The sequence below is a fragment of the Homo sapiens genome, chromosome 10, assembly GCF_000001405.40.
Source record: "Homo sapiens chromosome 10, GRCh38.p14 Primary Assembly".
Lineage (NCBI taxonomy): Eukaryota > Metazoa > Chordata > Mammalia > Primates > Hominidae > Homo > Homo sapiens.
This window is the reverse complement of record NC_000010.11, coordinates 119167713-119180037: the sequence shown is the minus strand read 5'-3', so window position 1 is coordinate 119180037 and position 12325 is coordinate 119167713. Positions and strand designations below refer to the sequence as shown.

Genomic DNA, 12325 nt, shown 5'->3' with positions numbered 1-12325 from the left:
GTGGTGCACGCCTGTAATCCCAGCTACTCGAGAGGCTGAGCCAGAAGAATCGCTCGAACCAAGGAGGTAGAGGTTGCAGTGAGCCGAGATTGTGCCACTGCACTCTAGCCTGGACGACAGAGTGAGACTCTGTCTCAAAAAAGAAAAGGAAAAAAAAAAAAGAAAGCCAATTTAAAGAAAATAGTAAGTGATATTTGGTGATAAGAAGACTTGAGAAACGAAGTTGCTAATTGAATGACTAGTGATTGGAAAATACCAACTCAGACCGGGTGCAGTGGCTCATGCCTATCATCCCAGCACTTTGGGAGGCCGAGGTGGGCGGATCACTTGAGGTCAGGAGTTTGAGACCAGCCTGGCCAACATGGTGAAACCCCATCTCTACTTAAAATACAAAAACTTAACTGGGCATGGTGGCAGGCGGCTGTAATCCCAGCTGCTCAGGAATCCCAATTACTCATGAAGCTCAGGCAGGAGAATCGCTTGAACCCGGGAGGCAGAGGTTGCAGTGAGCCAAGATCATGCCACTGCACTCCAGCCTGGGCGACAGAGCAAGACCCAGTCTCAAAAAAAAAAAAAAAGAAAAGAAAAGAAAAGAGAAAAGAAAATACCAGCTCCAAGACTGCAATTTGTCACACTTACTGTAAGGCCACGGTGTGATTTTTATCTATGTTTGATGTGGTTGCTTCAAGTACTATGCTCACCACTGAACACTTGGCTTCATTAATAGACAAAAACCAAATTTTAAATTTGTCCCAGTTTTCCCAATTTTGGGAAGAGAGGCCAAATGTTAGACCACACACAATTCCAGCGGATTTCAGGCCAACAAAGCCTTGATGTGTCTAGCCCACTTAGCTTATTAACGGACTAAAACTGCATTTGTAATTAATTCCATTTCATACAGAAGCCGGAAGTCTCTACCTGAGGCTGAAATAAGAAAGGGATCCTGTCACAGAAATACTAGACACAGTAATCCACACAAGGTTAACAAAACAGTGGGAAATATGGAAACAAATACCTAATGCCCCGCCTGGATTCGTTCTTTTAAGGTTGGGGCGACAGTAGGAAAACCACGTGTCACTTGCCCAAGCATTCAGCCTTAAAGGGAATTTCTCCCTCAGGGTCTCCAGGAGGCGGGGAGGCGGTGGCTCCTCCGGCCCCGCCCCCCCACCAGCAGAGGGCCCGCTCACCACCCCGTAGGCCCCGCCCCTGCGTCTCTGCCCGCCCCGTGGCGCCCGAGTGCACTGAAGATGGCGGCTGCTGTAGGACGGTTGCTCCGAGCGTCGGTGAGTGGCTGTCGGCTGGGGACAGGCGTGGAGACACTGGTGGCTCCGGGAACGTGCTTCTCAGACAGGACCCCGCGCTTCTGGGCATGAGGGCCATTCGCCCTTCTTGGAGGGTTTCCGCGGGTAACGGACCCAGAGGCCTCCCTCCGGGAAGGTTCCATGCGCCTGCGCAGAACCGCCCTTCCCCACTCCATCCTCGCGGTCTCTTCCCCGAGTCCCTCCTCTTTCGGCGTCCCCGGTCCCCAGGCCCATCTCCACTTAAGGTCCTGGCCCTGATTCTGCCACCGACCCTGTGATCTTGGGCAAGCGCCTTCGCCTTTCTCAGACTGTGTACTTAAGATGGAAAGAATGATGCCTACATCAAGGCGTTGCTGTGAACAGCCCCTTAAATACTGGATAAAAACGCGCAAAGTGCTAAAAAACTCACAAAGGCTTTCCCTCCCAATCCCACTCCCGCGTGTTTCTGCTGCTGTTTCCTGCTTAACTGTGGGCAATGCGTCGTGCTCTTTTGGTACACGGCTTTCTCTGGTGGGGTTCAACACAGCCCCTTTCGTTCTCCTGAGTCATTTTGAACATTAAAGTTGAGCAAACCGGCAGAGTGCGGTGGCTCACGCCTGTAATCCTAGCACTTTGGGAGGCCGAGGCGGGCAGATCACTTGAGCCCAGGAGTTTGAGACCAGCCTGGACAATAATAGTGAGACCTTGTCTCTAAAAAAAAAAATAGCCGGGCATGGTGGTCAGTGCTCCTGGGGAGGCTAAGGTGGGAGGATCACTTGAGCCCAGGAGGTCGAGACTGCAGCGAGCCGAGATCGCGCCACTGCACTCTAGCCTGGGTAAAAGAGCGAGACTCTGTTTCAAAAAAAAAAAAAAAAAGTTGAGTAAACATGTCCCTTGAGCCTTTAACAGACTCCCAGAGGCTGAATTTGGCTCTTCTTGTTTACTTGTCGCTGGTGCTGGAGGGGCCTTGTTTTTCTAAGGAAAACCTTGAAATGGTAGAACATACTCAGCAGATAGTGCTGGGAAAAGCCTGCACAAGTCCCCTGGCTTCTGAACCCTGTGTTGCTTTAAGCGCATGGAGTTTCTGATTTTTTTTTTTTTTTTTTTTGAGACGGAGTTGTCGCCCAGGTTAGAGTGCAATGGCGCGATCTCGGCTCTGCAACCTCTGCCTCCCGGGTTCAAGCAATTCTCCTGCCTCAGCCTCCCAAGCAGCTGGAATTACAGGTGCCCGCCACCGCCGCCTGGCTAAGTTTTGTGTTTTTAGTAGAGATGGAGTTTCACCATCTTGGCCAGGCTGGTCTCGAACTCCTGACCTGGTGATCAACCCGTCTTGGCCTCCCAAAGTGCTGGGATTACAGGTGTGAGCAACCGCGCCCAGCCGGTCTTTGTGTTCTTATAGTTCCTCTCCACCTTCCAGTCTCCTAGGAGAAGGAAGCAGAAGGGAGTGTTAAGAACATGCAGATCCAATCCATGCTCTTAGAGTTTGGGGTTTGCTATTTGGTTCACAGGAACAGGGACAGCTGAAACCACCGTTGGCACGATGCCCTTTCAGCCTTCAGTCACCAGTCCAGGAAAACTTTCTAATAAAAAGTTTCTCTTTCCAGGTTGCCCGACATGTGAGTGCCATTCCTTGGGGCATTTCTGCCACTGCAGCCCTCAGGCCTGCTGCATGTGGAAGAACGAGCTTGACAAATTTATTGTGTTCTGGTTCCAGTCAAGCAAAATTATTCAGCACCAGTAAGTGTTATGTCATGTCTTGGCTGGAGCCAGGTAAAGGAAAAATGAACCATCGTCTCTGGACAGGGGCTCTGAACCCTGGCCAAACGTTAGAGTCACCTGGGAGCTTTCAGGAACACAGCACTGCCCCCGTCCCACCCCAGACAAGTTAGTCTGTGGGGTGAGACCAGGATGTGCCGGGTGATTCTAACGTGCAGCCAGGGTTGAGAATCACTGAGGCAAACTGCCCTTGTCACATTTCCATGTTGGTTGTCAGAGTTTCTAATCCACTGTGTTGAGGAGGGTGTTACTGGGAGCTCAGATGCCTTCTGAGTCTAGTGTGTCTGAAGAGCTGTGAGTGGTGGGCAGCCTGTGGGGGACCTGAGAGGGCAGCTGCTCTAAGATTCAAACCTGTGTAATGGCCCCAGCTGGCCACTTAGGAACCAGACCTGTCTAATGGTATCTGTAATCTGAGCGAAATTTAGCTGTTTCTTGAGATTTACACTCCCTTCTCTAGGATATGGGCTTTGCTAAGATCAGCCTCAGATAATGAGTGGTATTTGAAAATACCTTGTCTAGATTTGACTAGCCTTTGAAAAAGCCCGTATTTAATATGTAATGGTTTGTGGGGATATACTTTAGTAAAGCCTTTGTTTGTGGGCAAAATGTTCTAAGAGCTTTCGCAATTTTACTACCCTGGAGCTTCAAAATATTTCTAGTAGTGATGTGATACCACAGGCTTAAAACTTTACTCCACTGGTTTCGAATCCTCATCCCCAGCAGCGCCTCCTGTTTCTGTTCATGGCGGTGTCAGGCATTTTGACATTGGAACTACTCTGTCGCTCATTCCTGGGTAGAAGCAAGTCCTTTTCAGTTTTGACACATCTCTTGCATCCATTCCTTTCTGTTCTTTCTGCCCCATACCTCCCCTCAATACGTCTAAGATCACTGAAATCGAGGCTGGGCACAGTGGCTCACACCTGTAATCCCAGCACTTTGAGAGGCCAAGGCAGGCGAATTACTTGAGGTCAGGAGTTCAAGACCATCCTGGCCAACCTGGTGAAATCCCGTCTCTACTAAAAATACTTAAAAAAAATAAGCCGGGTGTGGTGGTGTGCTACTGGAATCCCAGCTACTTGGGAGGCTGAGGCAGGAGAATTGCTTGAACCTGGGAGGCGGAGGTTGCAGTGAGCCGAGACCATGCCACTACACTCCAGCCTAGGTGACAGAGCGAAACTCTGTCTCAAAAAAAAAAAAATCACTGAAACCACCTCCTAACATGTCTCCCCCTTCCTCCTGCTCCTCTTTCCCTCCTGCCGGACTAATCTTCCTAAAAACCCCCATCTCAGCCAGGCACTGTGGCTCACGCCTGTAATCCCAGCACTTTGGGAGGCCGAGGCTGGCAGATCACGAGGTCAGGAGATGGAGACCATCCTGGCTAACACGGTGAAACCCCATCTCTACTAAAAATACAAAAAATTAGCCGGGCGGGGTGGCGGGCGCCTGTGGTCCCAGCTACTCGGGAGGCTGAGGCCGGAGAATGGCGTGAACCCAGGAGGCAGAGCTTGCAGTGAGCTGAGATTGTGCCACTGCACTCCAGCCTGGGCGAACAGAGCGAGACTCCGCCCTTGACTCTGTTATCTTTCCTGCTAAGAAGACCCAGCAGCCTAGTATTTAAGGACTGTTGCAACATGGCCTTCAACCATTCCTGCCTGCTGCCTGCTCTTCACTCCGTACCCTTAGACACTCTCTGTTCTCATTAGACTGCCACACGCTGCTCCACACACATGTCCTGTCTTCCTTCCTGCTGTTTCCTACATGCCATCTGCCCCATCCCATCTAGACTTGACAAAATCTGAACCATATTTAAAATCCATCTCTAGTCTCATGTCTTCCTTAATTCTATCCCTACTTTGTCTTCCTCTTTTTAGTTTCTGTAGCAGTTGGAATTGAATTTGTGCACAATCTAAAACTATAGAAGGAGAAATTACAGTTGGCCCTCTGTATCTGGATTCTGCATCTGTGGTTGGTTGAATCGAAAATATTGGGAGGGAAAAATGGATGGTTGTGTCTATACTGAACACAAAGTCTTTTTTTCTTGTCATTCCCTAAACAATACAGCTTAACGACTATTTACGTAGCATTTACGTCGTATTAGGTATTATGAGTAATCTAGAGATGATTTAAGTATACTGGAGGGTGTGTGTGGATTATATGCAAATCACCACTTTATGTAAGAGACTTGAGCATCTGTAGATTTCGATATCCTAGAACCAATCCCCCCACAGGTGGCAAAGGATGACTGTGCCTAAGATGTACAGTTGAACCGAATGTTTTGATTTATACTAAGCACTTTATACTACTAATTAATTATGAGAAGTTTAAATAAAATCATAGGTGCTTGACATAGCAAATGATGAACTCCATATGAGTGTGGGTTTTTTTTCAGGTTCCTCATGCCATGCACCTGCTGTCACCCAGCATGCACCCTATTTTAAGGGTACAGCCGTTGTCAATGGAGAGTTCAAAGACCTAAGCCTTGATGACTTTAAGGGGAAATATTTGGTGCTTTTCTTCTATCCTTTGGATTTGTAAGTGTAATTTCTATGATGCTTTCGTGTCATTCTGAGAGCAAGCACATATCCTGTTCCCACACTGAATTGTCTATCCCTAGATACCCTTGTGAAAGGAAGGATTCTTTCTGACCCTTTATCACTGATGGCCTTGTTGATTACAGCTGGGATCTGTAGCTTGTTTACAAGTGATAAACTTCGGGGGTGGGGTAGGACAGCTTTCTTTATAGTACACCTCTGTGCTCTGGAGCACTGCTTCCCTAAGCCAGTCTATGAAAAAGTTTTCACTGGTCTGGGGAAAAATGAGAAAAGTAGGCATAATAAAATGATTTTTTTCAAAAAGCAACTTTATTGAACTGTAATTTTTTTTTCTTAAAATATGTGTTCCCTTTCCCCATTTTTTGATACAATTCCTAAAAATAAAAAGGTGAGGGGAGGTAGTAGTACTTTTGCCAGCACAACACTATAGTCCAGTGAGGATGGTAAACCATTTTGCCTTTTTTACCCTTAGCAAGTTGAACTAGTTGTTAGACCACTAATTGTTAAAATCCTTGTTTTTAAATGCTCTAATGAGAATTTCTATCCTTTTTTTCCAGCACCTTTGTGTGTCCTACAGAAATTGTTGCTTTTAGTGACAAAGCTAACGAATTTCACGACGTGAACTGTGAAGTTGTCGCAGTCTCAGTGGATTCCCACTTTAGCCATCTTGCCTGGATAAATACACCAAGAAAGGTATGGCATTGTACCCCTAGCTTTTGCTCTTATAAACTTGCTTGGAAGAATCTAAATTTCTAGCTATGCTGCTGGACTATCAAGATCAAATTACGCAAGGGTTGGGTTTTTTTTTTTTTTTTTTTTTGAGACGGAGCTTCACTCTTGTTGCCCAGGCTGGAGTGCAATGGCACAATCTCAGCTCACTGCAACCTCCGCCACCTGGGTTCAAGCGATTCTCCTACCTCAGCTTCCCGAGTAGCTGGGATTACAGGCATGTGTCACCACCCCTGGCTAATTTTGTATTTTTAGTAGAGACGGGGTGTCTCCATGTTGGTCACGCTGGTCTCGAACTCCTGACCTCAGGTGATCCGCCCACCTTGGCCTCCCAAAGTGCCGGAATTACAGGCATGAGCCACCACACCTGGCCTACTCAAGGTATTTTTTTTATTATTACTCTTCCATGTCTATGTTTGAGAAAATTAGCCTTTAAAAGAATGCTTTAAGAATTAGAAAAAGCAGCCGGGCGTGATGGCTCACGCCTGTAATCCCAGCACTTTGAGAGGCCGAGACAGGTGGATCACAAAGTCAGGAGATCGAGACCATCCTGGCTAACACGGTGAAACCCCATCTCTACTAAAAATAAAAAAAATTAGCCAAGTGTGGTGGTGGGCGCCTGTAGTCCCAGCTACTCGGGAGGCTGAGGCAGGAGAATCGCTTGAACCCAGGAGGCGGTGGTTGCCATGAGCCAAGATCGCACCACTGCACTCCAGCCTGGGCGACAGAGCGAGACTCCATCTCAAAATAAATAAATAAATAAATAAAATAATAAAGAATTAGAAAAAGCATCTGTAGTCCCAGCTACTCAGGAGACTGGGGTAGGATGATTGCATGAGCCCAGGAGTTTGAGGCTGCTGTGAGCTGTGATTGCATCACTGCATTCCAGCCTGGTGACAGCGAGACTCTGTGTCTTAAAAAAAAAATTGGAAAAGGTCTATAGTATTAGCCGGGTGTAAATCTTCCTTCTGCTCCTTTCTAGCTGTGACCTGGAACAAGTTACTTAGGTTTTTCTTGCCTCAGTTTCCTCATTTTGATAGTGTCTTCTCCAGGGTGGTTTCGAGGAGGCAGTAGGTTAATAGAGTAAGCAGTGCTTGGCCCGTTGTTGAATTACTGTTACCTATCGCCGTTACTGTTGGTCTCAAACATTGTGGTACGTGGTCAAGAATGTTGTGAGGCCACACATTCTAACAGTCATGTTTGCATTTTGATTAGAATGGTGGTTTGGGCCACATGAACATCGCACTCTTGTCAGACTTAACTAAGCAGATTTCCCGAGACTACGGTGTGCTGTTAGAAGGTTCTGGTCTTGCACTAAGGTAAGATCCTGTTTCTGATGAACTTAAGATTATTTTTCATGTTTAGTATCATTCTGCTTCTTAGGGGATTTATGTAGACCTTGGTAAAGCATTTTTAAAACCAGAAGATCCTGGCTGGGCATGGTGGCTCATGCCTGTAATCGTAGCACTTTGGGAGGCCAAGGCGGGAAGATCACTTGAGTTCAGAAGTTCAAGACCAGCCTGGGCAACATAGTGAGACCTCATCCCTATTATATTAAAAAGAATTAAAATTTATAATAATCAATCCTTAATTTTAGTCTTTAATAAACACTGATGAAATGCCTCCTGCAAGGGTTGGCGGTCTCTCAGAAATGCTGAGACATGCATGTCCCCTCCACCACCTTGGGTCTCTTTCTGAAGAAGGCTGGCTGCGTCTTGAGGCCACACTGCTCCATACTCCCTAACTATGTGGGAGCCACTTCCATGGGGACACACACCTGACATTGAAGCCATCAGACTCTGCAGAAGGGGGGACTAGCAGGGTAAGAGGTAGTCTCTTGGAATGGTGACCATCTTCAGCCCTGGAACCAAACAATCCTTGGTTTGAGTTTTTCTTTTTTTTAACTCAGCTACTTAATAGCTGTGTGACTTTGGGCAACTGATTTGATTTAACCTTGTTGAGCCCCAGTTTTCCCATAACTAAAATGAGGTGGTACGTCACAGGTGGGTGTGAGGATTAAATAGTGACACAGCTAGAGTTTTTAGCATAGTTACTGGCAGCAGTTGTTAGGATTTCTGCCCCAGAACATCATTTCTATCTGTATTCAGTCCCTTATTAAACCTTTATTCCTTTGAGTGTGAAAAGCTTTCAGTCCTCAGCAGCCCCACATTCAAACATAACCTTCCTGGGAGGGATGAGAACTTGGGTCTTAGAATTGGCATCTTGAAGTCTGCTGAGAATAGGAGTGAAGGAGGGATAGGGCAGAACTTGACCTCCAGGAAGGAAGAGAGGGGATCCCCCTTTGATGTGCTGTGCCTCACAGTTTTGCTGGGGGCTGGTCAGCTTAAAGCCAGCTCACCTGGCCGGGCGCGGTGGCTCAGGCCTGTAATGCCAGCACTTTGGGAGGCCGAGGCAGGTGGATCACGAGGTCAAGAGATCGAGACCATCCTGGTCAACATGGTGAAACCCCGTCTCTACTAAAAATACAAAAAATTAGCTGGGCGTGGTGGTGGGCGCCTGTAGTCCCAGCTACTCGGGAGGCTGAGGCAGGAGAATGGCGTGAACCTGGGAGGTGGAGCTTGCAGTGAGCTGAGATCGCACCACTGCACTCCAGCCTGGGCGACAGAGCAAGACTCTGTCTCAAAAGCAAACAAACAAACAAACAAACAAAGCCAGCTCACCTGCCTGTCTTGTAGGTGACCTCTGGCCTGCTCTTTCTTGGGTTACACCTTGGGTTTTAGCGCTGAGTGGCATCTTAGAGTTTGGGCCTTTTTTTCCTCTCTTTTTTTTTTTTTCTTTTCTTTTCGAGACGGTGTCTTGCTTTATCGCCCAGGCTGGAGTGCAGTGGCGTGATCTCGGCTCACTGCAACCTCCACCTCCCGGGTTCAAGCAGTTCTCCTGCCTCAGCCTCCCGAGTAGCTGGGATTACAGGCACACGCCACCACGCCCGGCCAATTTTTGTATTCTTAGTAGAGATGGGGTTTCATCGTGTTGGCCAGGCTGGTCTCAAAACTCTTGACTTCGTGATCTGCCTGCCTCGGCCTCTCAAAAGTGCTGGGATTACAGGCATGAGCCACCGCACCTGGCAGACCATTTTTTTTTTTTTAAACTTTAAAGAGATTATCAAACGAATGCCTAGGTCTTTCAGAATTGTCAATGGCCAGAGAAAGGGTACTGGCTATTTTTCTCCTACGGTCCCTTTCCCTATGAGAACTCACTAATTTTGCAGTTACCTCTGTACCCGTTTTAATATTGAGATTAACAAGAGAGAGAAGCTGAGTCTGGCTTATAAGATAAAGACTTTTGGGAGTCTATGGGCCCTGCTCTGTCCCAGCTCTGCCTCACCTTCTATTGGTGGACTTCAGCTGGCTGCACCCTCTGGGAACAGTTTCACCTCAAACCCCAGGCTCCCAGTGCCTGACCCAGGGAGGGAGAAGCATCTTTTATCCTGAGTTTTCTCTAACCTGCCTTTTCCATGAGTGATTGATACCTGAAATTTCCACATCCTTTTAAGACAGACTGTTAAAACCTGTAGGTTAAATAACCGGACACAGTGACACACACCTATAGTCACGCTACTTGGGAGTCTGAGGTGGGAGGATCAGTTGAGCCAGAAGTTCGAGGCTGCAGCCTGCTGTGATCACACCTGAGAAGAGCACTGCACTCCAGCGTGGGCAATACAGTGAGACCCTATATTTAAACCAAACAACCAAAAAAACTTCTAGGCTAAACATATCTGCATCTGTCACAGTAACACCAACACAGAAGATAAACACAGACCACTGTGGTAGCGTGGTTCATCTCATTACATGCTGCTACATGATTAAAAGTGATGGGCATGGTTTTCTGTTTTGCATAGACTTAGAGCCTGTACATTCTTTCTATGAAGATTTTTCCCGTGGGATTTCCCCCCATTTACCCAATAATTCATTCATAATAAACAGTTGTTGAACCTAGATAAAATACACCTCTGTCTCTTCCCATTTGCCTATAAGTTTCTTGCCAAGATGTGATACAGCAGCTCAAAGAATGCTTGCCAAGTCACTAATAGTCTTTGCTCTCTCTAGTTCAGTGACTTTCCGATACTGTGTAACATTCAGGGCACTATGTGAACTTGTAAGTGTGACCATACTGCATGTTTTATGGTGACCTGGTCCAGTACTGCCTTTGTTAAAGCATCTGTCATCAGTAAGAGATGATAAGTTTTTTGCACAACAGTGAAAACCCCACCTTTAAGCATATGATTACGCTTAATAAATATTTTATTAAAAGGAGAATTAAAGACCTAAAAGGGAAGAAGTTAGACTGTTCTAGTTCTGGTACTGTTGAGGCACTGATGAGGATAAATGATCATGCAGAGGTCTCTTCATAATTGACCCCAATGGAGTCATCAAGCATTTGAGCGTCAACGATCTCCCAGTGGGCCGAAGCGTGGAAGAAACCCTCCGCTTGGTGAAGGCGTTCCAGTATGTAGAAACACATGGAGAAGTCTGCCCAGCGAACTGGACACCGGATTCTCCTACGGTAGGTTTTTTTCCCCAAAAGCAGTGAGGTCCATGTTCTCTCAGCCTCGAGAGCTATTGACCTGAAATATCCACAAAAGGGAGCCCACTCTTGAAGCAAGCGTGCAGATGATATGCAAATGGGTGAAGCTGCTGTGGGGTAGAGGGGGTGGGGTGGGGAGCCAGGAACCAATTATCAGAGACAGGCAGGCCTTTTTTTTTTTTTTTGAGACGGAGTCTTGCTCTCGCCCAGGCTGGAGTGCAGTGGCGCTCTCTCAGCTCACTGCAAGCTCCGCCTCCTGGGTTCACGCCATTGTCCTGCCTCAGCCTCCTGAGTAGCTGGGACTACAGGGCGCCCACCACCACGGCTAATTTTTTGAATTTTAGTAGAGACGGGGTTTCACCGTGTTAGCCAGGATGGTCTGGATCTCCTGACCTCGTGATCCACCCGCCTTGGCCTCCCAAAGTGCTGGGATTACCGGCGTGAGCCACCGTGCCCGGCCTAGAGACAGGCAGGCCTTAATGAAACTTTCATCTTTATGTTTTAAAGGAAATCTTTAAAAGTTTAAAGAACTTTAGGTTAAAAATTGGGAGATTGCCACTCACTTTTGGGACTATTATTATGGTAAAGTCACAGTTACCTAATTAAGCTTTTGTATTTTCAGATCAAGCCAAGTCCAGCTGCTTCCAAAGAGTACTTTCAGAAGGTAAATCAGTAGATCACCCATGTGTATCTGCACCTTCTCAACTGAGAGAAGAACCACAGTTGAAACCTGCTTTTATCATTTTCAAGATGGTTATTTGTAGAAGGCAAGGAACCAATTATGCTTGTATTCATAAGTATTACTCTAAATGTTTTGTTTTTGTAATTCTGGCTAAGACCTTTTAAACATGGTTAGTTGCTAGTACAAGGAATCCTTTATTGGTAACATCTTGGTGGCTGGCTAGCTAGTTTCTACAGAACATAATTTGCCTCTATAGAAGGCTATTCTTAGATCATGTCTCAATGGAAACACTCTTCTTTCTTAGCCTTACTTGAATCTTGCCTATAATAAAGTAGAGCAACACACATTGAAAGCTTCTGATCAACGGTCCTGAAATTTTCATCTTGAATGTCTTTGTATTAAACTGAATTTTCTTTTAAGCTAACAAAGATCATAATTTTCAATGATTAGCCGTGTAACTCCTGCAATGAATGTTTATGTGATTGAAGCAAATGTGAATCGTATTATTTTAAAAAGTGGCAGAGTGACTTAACTGATCATGCATGATCCCTCATCCCTGAAATTGAGTTTATGTAGTCATTTTACTTATTTTATTCATTAGCTAACTTTGTCTATGTATATTTCTAGATATTGATTAGTGTAATCGATTATAAAGGATATTTATCAAATCCAGGGATTGCATTTTGAAATTATAATTATTTTCTTTGCTGAAGTATTCATTGTAAAACATACAAAATAAACATATTTTAAAACATTTGCAT

The 12325-nt window shown here is 46.2% G+C and overlaps 1 protein-coding gene across 6 annotated transcripts, besides 3 other annotated features; it reads left to right on the top strand.

Annotated features, from left to right (window-relative positions):
* Nucleotides 1084-1193: a silencer, noted in NCBI's record as "silent region_2870". NCBI's record gives its function as "represses an Ori minimal core promoter by ATAC-STARR-seq in GM12878 lymphoblastoid cells {active_cell/tissue: GM12878}" and the evidence as "EXISTENCE:reporter gene assay evidence [ECO:0000049][PMID:35858748]".
* Nucleotides 1224-1703: an enhancer, noted in NCBI's record as "active region_4104". NCBI's record gives its function as "activates an Ori minimal core promoter by ATAC-STARR-seq in GM12878 lymphoblastoid cells {active_cell/tissue: GM12878}" and the evidence as "EXISTENCE:reporter gene assay evidence [ECO:0000049][PMID:35858748]".
* PRDX3 (peroxiredoxin 3) lies at nucleotides 1226-12318 on the top strand. 6 transcript variants are annotated; one of them, NM_006793.5, is made up of 7 exons: nucleotides 1226-1283; nucleotides 2885-3017; nucleotides 5446-5587; nucleotides 6166-6301; nucleotides 7553-7656; nucleotides 10696-10861; nucleotides 11505-12318. In NM_006793.5, exons 1-7 carry the CDS (start codon nucleotides 1248-1250, stop codon nucleotides 11556-11558), a joined length of 771 nt encoding a protein of 256 aa, NP_006784.1. In that variant the 5' UTR covers nucleotides 1226-1247; the 3' UTR covers nucleotides 11559-12318. The 6 variants fall into 6 exon arrangements, 2 of the variants coding, with proteins under 2 accessions (NP_006784.1, NP_001289201.1); NR_126102.2 differs by lacking the exon at nucleotides 2885-3017; NR_126105.2 differs by lacking the exon at nucleotides 5446-5587 and having other exon boundaries at nucleotides 2885-2896; nucleotides 6186-6301.
* Nucleotides 1703-2347: an enhancer, noted in NCBI's record as "H3K27ac-H3K4me1 hESC enhancer chr10:120937203-120937847 (GRCh37/hg19 assembly coordinates)". NCBI's record gives its function as "activates a minimal SCP1, AML or CMV promoter by ChIP-STARR-seq in naive H9 embryonic stem cells {active_cell/tissue: H9 hESC(naive)}" and the evidence as "EXISTENCE:reporter gene assay evidence [ECO:0000049][PMID:30033119]".

What these genes read in the sequence shown, in the direction of transcription:
- PRDX3 (NM_006793.5), top strand. Translation starts at nt 1,248, where the DNA reads ATGGCGGCTGCTGTAGGACGGTTGCTCCGAGCGTCG. An exon ending in GACGGTTGCTCCGAGCGTCG is followed by an intron (nt 1,284 to 2,884) that starts GTGAGTGGCTGT and finishes TTCTCTTTCCAG; the next exon opens with GTTGCCCGACATGTGAGTGC. An exon ending in AGCAAAATTATTCAGCACCA is followed by an intron (nt 3,018 to 5,445) that starts GTAAGTGTTATG and finishes GTTTTTTTTCAG; the next exon opens with GTTCCTCATGCCATGCACCT.